Source organism: Homo sapiens, chromosome 3, assembly GCF_000001405.40.
Source record: "Homo sapiens chromosome 3, GRCh38.p14 Primary Assembly".
In the NCBI taxonomy this organism is placed as follows: Eukaryota; Metazoa; Chordata; class Mammalia; order Primates; family Hominidae; genus Homo; species Homo sapiens.
In genome coordinates, this window is record NC_000003.12 from 124,369,656 (window position 1) to 124,383,026 (window position 13,371).

The 13,371-nt window shown below is 38.4% G+C and overlaps 1 protein-coding gene and 1 non-coding gene across 34 annotated transcripts in view, besides 2 other annotated features; both read left to right on the forward strand.

Moving 5' to 3' along the window:
- The window catches only part of KALRN (kalirin RhoGEF kinase), a 692,957-nt gene that overhangs the window by 336,287 nt on the left and 343,299 nt on the right, over positions 1-13,371 (forward strand). The window lies entirely within an intron of this gene.
- Positions 3,003-3,531: an enhancer, noted in NCBI's record as "OCT4-NANOG hESC enhancer chr3:124091505-124092033 (GRCh37/hg19 assembly coordinates)". NCBI's record gives its function as "activates a minimal SCP1, AML or CMV promoter by ChIP-STARR-seq in naive H9 embryonic stem cells {active_cell/tissue: H9 hESC(naive)}" and the evidence as "EXISTENCE:reporter gene assay evidence [ECO:0000049][PMID:30033119]".
- Positions 3,227-3,521: a silencer, noted in NCBI's record as "tiled region #1098; K562 Repressive non-DNase unmatched - State 24:Quies". NCBI's record gives its function as "represses a minimal TATA promoter and a strong SV40 promoter by Sharpr-MPRA in K562 cells {active_cell/tissue: K562}" and the evidence as "EXISTENCE:reporter gene assay evidence [ECO:0000049][PMID:27701403]".
- On the forward strand, positions 4,677-4,782 carry MIR6083 (microRNA 6083). The gene has a single exon (NR_106731.1). It is a non-coding gene; the product is annotated as a microRNA 6083 (primary transcript).

The following is a 13,371-nucleotide window of genomic DNA, read 5'->3' on the forward strand; positions in this document are numbered from 1 at the left end:
ATAGATGCTATGTTGTACAATAGATCTCTTGAACATGTTCTTCTATCTAATTGAAATTTTGTATCTTTTGGCCAACATCTCCCCAACTCCCCCGCCTCAAGACCCCCCACCTCACCACCCCCAATTATCCCAGCCCCTGGTAACCACCTTACTCTCTGCTTCTGTGAGATCAACTTTTTTAGATTCCACATATAAGTGAGATCATGCAGTATTTATCTTGCTGTGCCTGGCATATCCCGCTTAGCATAACATATTCTAGGTCCATTCATGTTGTCAAAAATGACAGGATCTCCTTTTTTATTGCTGAATAGTACTCCATTTTATTGTATTTTATTGCTGAATAGTATTCCATTGTCTATATATGACAGCACTTTGAAAAGTTTATGGAAAATGGAATTAAAAATAAAAAAATATATAAACGTTATTTGTCAACATAAGTTCCATCAAGTTCAAGACACCTTTGTAAGTGATGCTACCAGCCATTTAGTCCATCCCTAAAGAACCAAAGGTCCTGGGAATTTAACCAGGTCAATGTATGTTCTTAACTCAAGAAAAATGGATGCCCTTTAAGATTTTTTTTATGATCAGGATACAAAAAAGATACCAGAAGGACCCAAATCAGGACTGTAACGTGGATATCTAATGATTTCCCATCAAAATTCTCAAAAAAAAAATAACCGTATTTAGCTGAGAGAAATGAGCAGGAGCATAGTTTTAGGGGAGAAGGACTGTCTGGTGAAGCTTCTTGGGCATTTTCATGCTAAAGCTTTGGGTAATTTTTTCAAAACACTCTCATAGTAAACAAATATTATCATTCTTTGGCCATCCGGAAAGCCAACAAGTGAAATGCCTTGAGCATCCCAAGAAACCGTTGCTATGGTCTTTGCTCTTGACCAGTCTGCTTTTGCTTTGACAGGCTCCCACTTCCACCTCTTGGTAGCCATTGCTTTGATTGTGTTTGTCTTCAGGATCATACTGGTAAAGCTATGTTTCATTTCTTTTACAATTCTTCAAAGAAATACTTCAGGATCTTGATCACACTTGTTTAAAATCTCCATTAAAAACTCTACTCTTGTCTGCACCTGATCTGGGTGCAATCATTTTGGCACCCATTGAGTGGAAAATTTGCTCTACTTTAATTTTTCAGTCAGAATTGTGTAAGCTGATCAAACTGAGATGTCTATGGTGTTGGCTATTATTTCTGCTGTTAATCATAGGCATGAACGAGATTAATTTTTTTCACACATTGATGTGGATGGTCTGCTGCTGCGGGCTTCATCTTCAAAATTATTTCACTCCTTCTTAAAATGAGTTAGCTATTTATAAACTGCCAATTCCTTTAGGGCATTGTCCCCATAAACTTTTTATAAAGCATAAATAATTTCACCATTCTTCCACCCAAGCTTCACCATAAATTTGATGTTTGTCCTTGCTTCAATTTTAGCAGAATTCATGTTGCTCTGATTGGGGCTGTTTGAAACTGATGTCTTATCCTTCTTAGTACCTCAAACTACTTCCTGTTCAGGTATGTTATGACAAGTTAGTATGAGTTTATTTTGGTGTAAAAAAGTTGAAATCCATGCATAGTTTCCTTTTAAGTACTACACATTTCCTATGAACTTTTTGAAGACCCTTTGTCCTCTTCATCCATTTATTCACTGATGGGCACGAAGGTTGAGTTCATATCTTGAAGGTTGAGTTCATATCTCGACTACTGTGAATAGTGCTGCAGTAAACATGAGAGTGAAGACATATCTTCAACATAGTGATTTCATTTCCTTTGGATATATATCCAGTAACAGAATTGCTGGGTTGTATGGTAATTGTATTTTTATTTTTTTCAGGAAACTCCATACTGTTTTCCATGATGGCTATACTAATTTACCTTCCTACCAATAGTCTTACACACCTTTCTTCTTACAAAAATAAGGAAACATTTGCAAAACAAATGTTTCTGCTTACTTTTTGGAATAATTTCTTTAAAAAATTTTTTACTATGTTTAAATTTTTTGTGGGTACATATTGGTGTATATATTTATGATGTACATGAGATGTTTTGATACAGGCATGCAATGTGAAATAAACACAACATGGAGAATGGGGTGTCCATCCCCTCAAGCATTTAGCCTCTAAGTTACAATCTAATTAAATTCTTTAAGTTGTTTTAAGATATACAATAAAGTTATTACTGACTATAGTCATCCTATTGTGCTATCAAATAGTAGGTCTTTTTCATTCTTTCTATTTTTTGTAGCTCTTAACCATTCCTACCTTACCCCCAACTCCCTACTACCCTTCCCAGCTTCTAAAAACCTTCCATCTACTCTCTATGTCCCTGAGTTCTATTGATTTGATTTTTAGATCCCACAAATAAGTGAGAACATGAGATGTTTGTCTTTCTGTGCCTGGCTTATTTCACTTAACATAATGACCTCCAGTTCCATCCACGTTTTTGCAAATGACTGGATCTCATTCTTTTTTATGGCTGAATACTACTCTATTGTACATATGTACCACATTTTCTTCATTGGAGTAATTTCTAAACAATGCCCTGCATATAATTTTTATATTTAAGTGATTTTTTCCATTTTTTCTAATTATGAAACTAATACATATTCACCATGGAATAATTAGGAAGCAAGGAAATAGTGGAAAAGAAAATTTATCTCTATCACTGAGACATAATCATTATTAATATTTATTGATAAATTTCCATTTAGCACAGCAGAATACTAAGATTGTTTTGCCCAGGATCAAACAAATGTGAATTCCAGATCAACATCAACTATTTATGTGAGCTTCTTTTACATTTTTAATCCTCAGTTTTCTTATCTATAATATAATAGCATAATCATTATCATTATCAGTAGTAAGTTTTTTTGGTAATAAAATTAGAACCATACTTTGGTTTATTCTGACTTCTTCATTTAACATTACATTAAGAACTTTTTTATTATTTATTTTTTTATTTATTATTTATTTTTCATTAAATATTCTTCAAAAACATAATTGTAGTGAGTGGGTAATACTCTATCACGTGTTATCACAGTGTAGTGAACTATTCTGTATTGTTGAGCATTTTGGTCATTTCTGGTTTTCATTTCTATAACCCACAGTTACTATTTTTAAACTGCCAAACAAAGTGTTAAATAGATCACTGTCCTAAGTTCTGAGCAATTTCAAGGCAAAAGACTAGATTTCTCTCATGTTGGAATTTCAGCCCAGGCTTTGAGCCCTTCCCTTGGATGAGCGGTTTCAATGGTAGATGAGTGGCTACAATTAGAGTCACCTGGGAGCTTTTAAAACATGTGGCTGCCAGACATTCCCGCAACTCCCTCCCCCAGCCCATCCTAATTTACATAACCTGGAGCAGAGCCTGGGCCCTGCATTGTCCCTCCAAGCTCCTTTCTTTATCCCTCATACCCCTTGGCCCTCAACCCCCTAACCTCCTCCCCCTGTCCTGTGAGAACCACGGATTAGAGGATTCCTTAAGGTTTCTGCCATCTGAAGGATTATCAGAAAAATACTGTAAACTGGGAAGGTTGTATGATCTTTCTCAATACAGCTTCCTCTATGGTCTTATGGTCTAAAATGGTGGTTCTCAACTGGAAGGCAATTTTTGTCTCCCCCCGACTTCTACCCCACCTGGACATCTGACAGTAGCTGGGGACATTTTTGATTATTACATCTGGGGAAGAGGTTGCTATTGGCATCCTGTGGGTAGATTCCAGGGATGCTGCTAAGCATTCTACAGTGCACAGGACAGCCCGTGTTTGTTTCCCGTGGCTACTGTAACAAAGTACCACAATCCGCACAGATTAAAACAGCAGAAATTTATCGTCTCACAGTTCTGGAGGCTAGAAGTCTGAGATTGCAGTGTTAGCAGGGTTGTTCCTTCTGAGGGCTGTGAGGGAGAATCTGTTCCAGGCCTCTCTCTTAGCTTCCAGTGACTTGCTAGTGGCTTTGCTGTTTCCTGGCATGTGGCTGCACCACTCCAACCTCAGCTTTCATGTTGCTCTCCCTGTATGTCTGTATCTTCATTTGGACATCTTTCTATATGAATGAACACCAGTCATACCACACTATGGGCCTACCTTATTTCGGTATGATCTCATCTTAACTAATTATATCTGCAACAACGTTATTTCCAAATAAGGTCACATTCTAAGGTACTGGGGTTAGAGCTACAGCATATCTTTTTGCAGGGACAGAATTCAACCCACAAGAGCCCCACAAGCAAAGAATTATCCAGTGCAAAATGTGAATGGTGTTACTGTTGAGAAACTCTGTTCCACATAATCTGTGGACCAAGCCCAGGGAGGTTAACTAAGGTAAAACCCAGGGCAAGTAGCAGTATGGTCTGAATGTCTGTGTTTCCTCCAAATGTATATATTGAAACCTAATTCCCAATGTGGTTGTATTATGAGGCAGGAACTTTGGGAGGTGATCAGTGCCCTTTTAAAGAGGTTCTAGAAAGCTAGCTAGTTCCTTCTACCATATAAAGACACAGTGAGAAGATCATCTGTGAACCAGGAATTGAAGCCCTCACCAGATACTGAATCTGTGGGTACCTTGATCTTGGACTTCTCAGCCTCTAGAACTGTAAGAAATAAACTTCTGTTATGTATAAGCCACCCATTGTAAAGCATTTGTTATAGCAGCATGAATGGTCTAAGGTAAAAAGAGTCCAGAGTCTGGGAAGGTGGAAAGGGAGCAGGAGCATCGTCTTTAAGAGGGTCAGGTACCTTTGCTCTTATATCAGAGGCTGTGGGCTTCCTACAGATGTATATAGGCATAACCTCAGGCAACAGAGATATATGTGACCAAAACAGGGTGAAAGGACTTGAAAGAGCACTATGCTAACAGGGATAGAAGCAGAAGTGTGGCCAAACCCTCTGATTTGGTCACCTCACCATCTGACCCACCTTTCCACGTCAGGAACAGCCTTTTCCTCTTTTCCTCCGTTAGGAATGGAACAGGAGAGAAAAATAAATCCACAAGCCCCACAGTTTTCAGCAGTATTTTCAAGCCAACTGTCTTGTCTCTCCAAAGCCCAGTCTTCTCTCTCTGACACCCACTCCCTCCCACTGCCAGCCAAACATAGAATACAGAAAACAGGAAAAACAGCAACACTGCAAAGTTACATCTTTTGAGAGAGAACATTGCTGTGGGTACATTTCCCCCCATACCTCTTGAATTGCCAAACCTTGCAGCAGGCAGCCTTATTCTGTTCCATGGGGATGCTGTCTCACCAACTGCTTGTTTCTTTGGCTTCAGGAATTCCATGCAAGAATGAATTTCTGCCGAGATGGGGTCACTGGGCAGTCTATGTATCCACATCTGTATATTTAAGTCTATCTTCTTCACTTTTAAAATATTTTTGTCCACATTTTTATGTTGTGGCTACATGTTCCCCTTCATTGTTTTGCCATTTCCAATAGAGAGAGGGAAATGAGGGAAGGGAGAGGGTGACCAGAGGAGTGGAGATTATGTTATCAAATTCCAGGAGAGATGGGTTGCTTCCGAGCAGCAATATGAATACCCGCTGGCTATATCCGGGGCCTGCTCAGTGGGAAAAGGAGGAAGCCTTCCTCCAGTCTTCAGAGCTCCGTGTCTGCATAGCGCACGCCTCATTTTGGTCTCCTAATTGCTCAGCTATCTTTGCTGTCTATTGTTCCCTCTGGTTTGTCTCAGGAAGCAGCTCTGGGCCAACCTCTGGCCTCTAGTCCCCTTGCTCTCTGCACCATCTTCTTTGTGTCCCATTCTAAGTGCTAGTCCTGGCTCCCCTAGGCCCAGCTTACAGCCCTGACTCTGCCTTCCACAGCTCCCCATTCCTTGGTGGGCTAGGTGGGGAGAGGTCAGGGACAGAATCTTTCCCTGCTATATGTCTCAGGCCCCAGAGGGTGGCCATGTTTTCTGGAATCTGGACTGTATTTTTCTTACAGTCTGGACCTGGTGTTATCTGTCAAATTATACCTTGTAACTAGTATTGGCAACCTCTAGGATTGACTTTGCCTTTTAATCCACAAACAAGGTATTTTATTGTTGTTGTTATTGCATGGATAAAATGTTAACAGTTAATTATTTCTTTTGCTTTCCTGCCTCAGAGTGACCAGATATTTAGCTTCTAGTTTATAGTCAGGAGGGAATATTTTGAAGGTCCTTTAAAGCAATAATATGTAAATGAAGAGAGTTATTGAGAAAGAAAGAAAAGGGATCAGTGAAAGAGAGCACCCCAGCAAAGAACAACTACTATAATTTTCTCAGAATTTCTAGGCCCATGTACCTTCCTAAACACACACGGTTGGACTGTAGGAAAATAAAACTTTACTTTAAAAAAAATGTGGAGTTCTAAAAATATGCCTTTTATAGGAAAAGGTGCTAAAGCATTTTAGATATAAAGAAAAATAGTCTCCAGCAAGTAGAGATGTGTGAGAATGGACAGGGTGATTATTACGTATGTAAATGTGATAAAGTTGGTGTTTAAGTCCTCAGAGATAGTCTCAGTACCGAAACTACTTGTGTTGGGAGGTATTGGCACCTGCAATAGTTATTTTTAGTATCAGTCCCAATTAGTAACTGAAGATTTATATACATAGTCTTCAACTTTAAGGTGCATCTCTTTAGGGTACTCCTTAGACACTTCTTATTTGGACATAAAGTTGTTCTAATGGAGGGAACTTACTTGTTCCCTTATTCAGGGCACCTAAGAAGATATTGTTCTTTCAGCAGTTGTAATGTGGTGGGTCAAACCATCACTGGTACCCAGAAGTAATTTCCTCTGTTTCTTCTTACTTCTTTCCACCAAAGACCACTTTGCCATTCCCAGAATTCATCCCCTTCCCCACTACAAGAGCCAACAGATGGAGGAGAAATATATTCCTGGAGTTCTAGGATGAAAACTGAAAAGCATTTTTCTATATCACCCTCCTTAATCATAGACAATGTGCTATGTCAGTACTATATTTTAAACCTATTATGTGCTCAACTGAATTGCTTTATTTTATCCTGGGATCCTAACCTTCATTTACATGGCAAACACATTCTGAGTGCTAAATGGAACTGGGAAATGTGACACCTTACTGCTGACAAGCTGCTGAACTGCAGAGTTTTTGGGTTGAGTGACTATTGAAAGGAGAGCACTATGCCCACTAGGTACATCGAGGAATAGTTGAGATAGAAAAGATGAGTAAGATGGACTCTTTCCTTTAAAGTGAATACAATTCTCCTTAGAAGACAACATGCACACAAAAGGAGTGTATTGCAAAAGAAAAAAAAAGGCTGTTGCACGTGCACAATTACAATGTCATAATTTAAAAACCAAAGGCCCAAGAATGAATGTAATTCAAAGTAATAAAGAAGCAGAAGAGCTGGAGATTTTATAGTGAGTTTTGGAGAAGTACATGTTTCAGTGAAAAGTACTGGAAGTTATAGTTAGAGAGACTCGGCTTGCCATTTTCTAGTTATAAAACATTGTTTAAACAAGTTATTTTACGTCTCTGAGCCTCAGTTTTCTCATTTGTAAAATGAAATTAATAATACCTATCTTATGATTGATCCCAATGCTTACAGATAATGTCGATAAAGAACCTAACACAATGCATAGCATACTATGGACACCTGGTTAACTGATGCCACCTTCTTTGACCTATGGGTTATTTAGATATGTGTTATTTAGTTTCCAATAATTTGTGAGTATTCTGGTAATATTTCTGTTACTGATTTCTAATTTAATTACATTATAGTCAGAGAAAATATGTTGTATGACTTGCATCTCTTTAACTTTGTTGAGACTCATTCTATGGCTGAGAATATGGTTTATCTTGGTAAATATTCTGTGAGCACTTGAAAAGAATATGCGTTCAGCTGTTGGGGTGGGGGTGGAGTGTCCTACAAATGTCAGACCACGTTGGTTGAGAGTGTTCAAATCTATATCCTTACAAATTTCCTGTCTACTTGTTCTATTAATTACTGAGAGGGGGCATAGAATCTCTGACTATAATTATGGATTTCTCTATTTCTCCTTGTGGGTTTAATCAGTCTTTACATAGTTTGAACTTTTGTTGATAGAAGCATAACTGTTTAGGGTTATTACATCCTCTTGATGAATTGACCCCTTGATCATTATCAAATGATAATATTATTCATTTTTTCCTGGTAATGTTATTCACTCTGCAATCTACTACGTCTGATATTAATATAGCCACCCAGCTTTTTTTCTGGCTAGTGTTATCATGCTGTATCTTTTTCTGTCCTTTTACTCTTACCCTACTTGTGTCTTTGTACTTATAGTGCATTCCCTGTAGACAGCATATAATTGGGACTTGCTTTTTTATCTAATCTGACAATCTCTGCCTTTTGATTGTGTTATTTAGACAATTTATATTTAATGTGATTGCTGATATGTTTAGATTTAAATCTATCACCTTGTTTTTTTCTTTTCTATTTGTTTCATCTGTTGCTTTTCCTCCCTTTTTTTGCTTTTTTGGATTAATTTAATATTTTTATGATCCCATTTGACTTCCTTTGTTGGCTGATCAACTATAACTCTTTATTATTTTAATGGTTGCCTTAGGGTTTATAGTATTTTAACTTATCACAGTTTACCTTCAAGTGGTATTATACCACTTTACATAAAGTATAGGAACCTTACAATAGTATACTTCCATCCCTCCCTTCCTGGTCTTTGTGCTGTTGTCATATACCTTACTTATATATGTACCATAAATCCCACACTACATTGTTATCATTAGTTTTTAAACAATCAATTATTTTTAAATAGATTCAAATAATAAGAGGAAAAAAACCTTATTTACCCTTGTAGTATTTCCAGTGCTCTTGATTCCTGTGTATGGATCTGTATTTCCATCTGATACCATTTTCTTTCTTCCTGAAGGACTTCTTTTAACATTTCTTGTCTTGCAAATCTGCTAGTGAAGAATTCTTTCATCTTTGTATATCTGAAAAAGTCTTTATTTCACTTTTGTTTTTGAAAATACTTGTGCTGGGCACAGAATTCCCAGGTTTTGTTTTTTTTTTTATTTGTTTTGTTTTGTTTCTTTTAGTACTTTAAAGATGTTGCTCCACTGTCTGCTTGCACTGTTTCCAATAACAAGTCTGCTATCATCCTTATCTTTGTTCCTCTGTATATAGCTTGTCTTTTTTTCCTCTGTCTACTTTAAAGATTTTCTTTTCTTTCCCTTTTTTGCCACTTTATTTTATTTTTATGTTCCTTGGTGTAGTTTTCTTTGTGTTTCTTGTGTTGAGGGTTTGTTGGGTTTCTTGGATTTATAGTTTTTGTTATATTTGAAAACTTCTTGGTCATTATATCTTTAGGTATCTTTTCCAATACCCTCCTCTTCTCCTAGGGAATCTCAATTACATGGATATTGGCCTGTCTGAAGTTATCCCATAGCTCACAGATGCTTTATTTTTAAAATTAATTTTTTCTCTCAGTATTTTAGTTTAAATACTTACTATTGCAGTTTTCAAGTTCAGTCATTTTATCTTCTGCAAAGCCTAACCTACTGTTAATACAGTCTAATGTTTTTCATCTTTAAAAGTACAAGGGATTTTTTAAAAATTTTTTTATTTCTTAACTATCTGAACATATGGAATACAATTATAATAACCATTTTAAAATACTTGTCTGCTAATCTTAACATCTATTTCAGCTCTGGGTCAGTTTTCATTGATTGATTTTTCTCCTTCTCATAGGTGAGATTTTCCTGATTATGTGCACGCCTGGTAATTTTTTACTAGATACCAGACATCGTGAGTTTTACCTTGTCAGTTGTGGATATTTCTATATTCCTATAAATATTCTTAAGCTTTATTCTGAGACACAATAAAGTTACATGGAAAAAAATTGATCTGTTCAGGTCGTTCTCTTAAAATGTACTAGGCAGGACCAGAGCAGTTCTCATTCTAAGTCTACTTATTTACCCTTCTGACCCTTCTGGGTACTCCATCCAACATCCCATGAACCATGAGGTTTTCCAGGCTGACTGGTGGGAGCAGGTGCTATTTCTAACTGTATGAGTGCTAGGCACTGTTATCTCTAATTCTTTCAGATGGTTCTTTCTCTAGCCTCAGGTAGTTTCCTCACACATGGATTCTTTGCAGGTCTGCCCCAGAGAGGGTAAAGAAGGAAGGTGAAAGAGATTTGTCAGCTGTAAAGTACTATTCAAATGTAAGGTTTTGGGTGTTATCTTGATTGCTGCCCTCCCCAATGCCTATGCTTTTGTGTCTCCTTTGTCTTTAATGCTTACATATTTTTTTTCCTTTCATCTCATTACGTATTGGTTTCAGCCATGCTGGCCTGAAAAAAATAACCACTGTGAGGGGCATTTTCTCCTACTCCTCTGGTAGTCTCATTCTTCAATCTACATTGCCTCTTTTGAATAGTAAGGGTGACTTTCAGGCCTCATCCTCCTCATTCCCAGGTATAAAGCCAAGATTCTCACTTCATATTACCAAGGAAGTAGCCTCTTGATTCTAGAGTGTTTTTATTCACTGTCTCTCCCACCCCTTGCCTTTAAAAAGCCTGCTTCCTGCTTCTCCGCCTCAGCCCAGGGAATCTGAAAACATACCTGTATTGCTGGAATTCAGAGACAAATTATCCTAGAATGTTCTGTTTCTTCCCTGGGGAGAAAATTTAAAAGTAATGGGCCAAGGCTTCAGCAGAGTGTTTGAAGTTAGACTTAAGGGCTGAATTATTTAGGGCATCATACCTGGTTGACACAGTCATGGGGTGTTGGAGAGGGAAGAACAGGAACTGTAGCCATCAGTGTGGCCCATATCTCTGAATGAGGGGCTCTGTCTACCACAGGTCCTACCTGAAAGCTCCAACAGCTGAGGGATCTATACACCAGCACTCATAACCCATTTTTGGCATATCTGTTGGGAAATGTCAATAAGGGGTCAAGTCCAAGGCAGAGACTAGGAGACTGGGAAACCAAAGAATGCCTAGGAAATATGTTCAGAGCAAGGTCAGACTCTGGCTTTGAGTCAAAAGCTGTTGTTGATTTGGTCAGAAAGTGAGCAGAAACCTGTTGTGATCCTTGCCCCAATTTGGGGGTATTGACAAGAGTCAAAGTATTGCTTTGGTAATACTTTAGTTGATATTTTCTGTACACATTTCTATTTCAAGGCTGTGCCAGGAGGTAGGATATACCAAATAAAATTGAACATTGAACATGAATTCTAGCATGTAAGGTCTTGTACCAGGTAGTTGATGAGGAGTGAGGGTTGAATATTAACATTGGTGGAGGTTGATATCGTCTTTAAATCATTCATTCATTTACTAAATATCTATGGAGACTTACTAGGTGCCAGACACTAAGGGAAAGAGATGAAAGACATTATCTGCCCCTAAGCAGATGAGAAAGACAAAAATTTGCACTAGAAAGTAGCAGGTACCATGGAGAGGGTTGGTATAGATCAATCTAGGAGTCCAGAGGAGGGCACATAAGCTAGCCTTGGGAGAGAAGAGGATATGAGGGTGGACTTCCTAGAAGAAGCAATGCCCTTGCTGGGTCTTAAAGAATGAATAAGAGTTGGTCAAATAGAAGAGTGAAGGGAAGGGCATCTCAGGCTGAAGAAGAATATGTGCAAAGGCACAGAGGCAAGATTCAGTGCAGTGAGTTTTGGGGGATGCAAGTAATTTACTTCATAGGCTGTTTGTAGGGAAGTGATGTGGGTTGAAGCTGAAGGGAAAAAGTGTCAGGTGAAGAAGGGCATTGCACACCGTGTCAAGACATTTTACCCCAAAGGCAGTGGGAAGCCACTGAACAGTTTTAAGTAGAAGACAGTTGTGATTGGGTCTGAATTTTAGAAACTCTTTTCTACTAGTAATGGGGAAGAGAGCTGGGCAGAGACAAAGCTGAGGGCCCAGCTTTAACACTGACCCCATTGCCTTCCCACCTGTCTTTATTGTTCCATTCTCTCTATAAAATGTATCTTATAGCTCTTCACTGACTTATCCAACCTGATTTTTTGCCACTCTCCAATTTTAGTCAGGTTGACTCAACTTATTCAAACAGGCCTACTCATTTGTGTCTTGTTTGTTCAACAAACATTTAGTAAATGCCTATTGCATACCAGCCACAGCACTTGGCATGGGGGAACCAAGGATGAGTAAGACATGGAAACTGCCTTTAAGGAGCTCACAGACCAGTAGGGAGATACCATGGAGATACATTGTTACTATAAAGTGTGATGATGGCTGTGGGGTGGGCTAAATATAGAGTACCCTGGGTGCAGAAAGAAGACAGGCTTGGCTATGAGAAGCCCTTCTCCCTCTCTACTAAATCCTACCCATCCTCAGACTCCTGCCTATATTCTTATAGAGGCAGGGTAATTTAATGGGTTGTTGCTTGGGCTCTGAAGCCTGCCAACAGGGTTTTAATCCTGGTTCTGCCACTTACTGGCCATGTGACTTTGGCCCGAAATTCTTTGTACCTCAGTTTCTTCATCTGTAAAATGGGTATGATGGCTGCATCAACTTCATAGGGTTATTGCGAGGATTAAAGGAGATAGCATGCATAAAATCCTTTAGAACAATCCTTGTCATGTGCGAAATATTTAATAATAATTAGCTACTATTATTCTGTTTTTACTCCTTTTCTTCAGCATCTATATCGTATCAAGAAATTTTAACCCCTAATTATCTATTAGTTTGCTGCCTGCCCCATCTTATGTATTGTCATGTTATTTCTCTCAAGAATGATTTTAATTCTTCTTTGAGACAAAATACATTATATATTTATCTGTACTTTTGGGGTGCTTACAATATTGGGTATGTATTATAGCAATCAGCCATCCCAATTTTCCCAGGACCGAGGGGATTTCTGGGACACAGGAATTTCTATGCTAAAACCAGGAAAATCCTGGGACAAATTGATCACCTTACGTGTGGTAGACAGTTCAGTTTGGCTTTTTATTTATCTCTTATTGGTCCCAAACCTAATTTGCAAGCAAGCTCACTTTGACTTTGCCACAAATTTTTATTTATTGTCTACAGAATATAAAGCTACAATCTCTAGGGTTCTTGCGGGGGGAATCCTGAGACTCTTTAGGATTAAAGGTGGACAATTTGAGGGATTCCTAAAATACCTCTCTCCCATCAGCTGTGGGCATATAGACTAGAAATTGTGGGCAATCCCATAAGAGCTTTCTTTAACCTGACCTACAGCCGTAGAGGTCTACCCTTGCCTGTCATTCCCCTTGTCTCCCTGCATGTCTCTCATGAGTGGATGACTTCCTTCATCTGCTTTCCAGAATTGACATACCCTGCTTTAACCCAGTGGCAAAACTACTTTCCTCATATGAAGCTGCTGTTTTTCCATGAATTTCCCAGTTGGGGCCAAG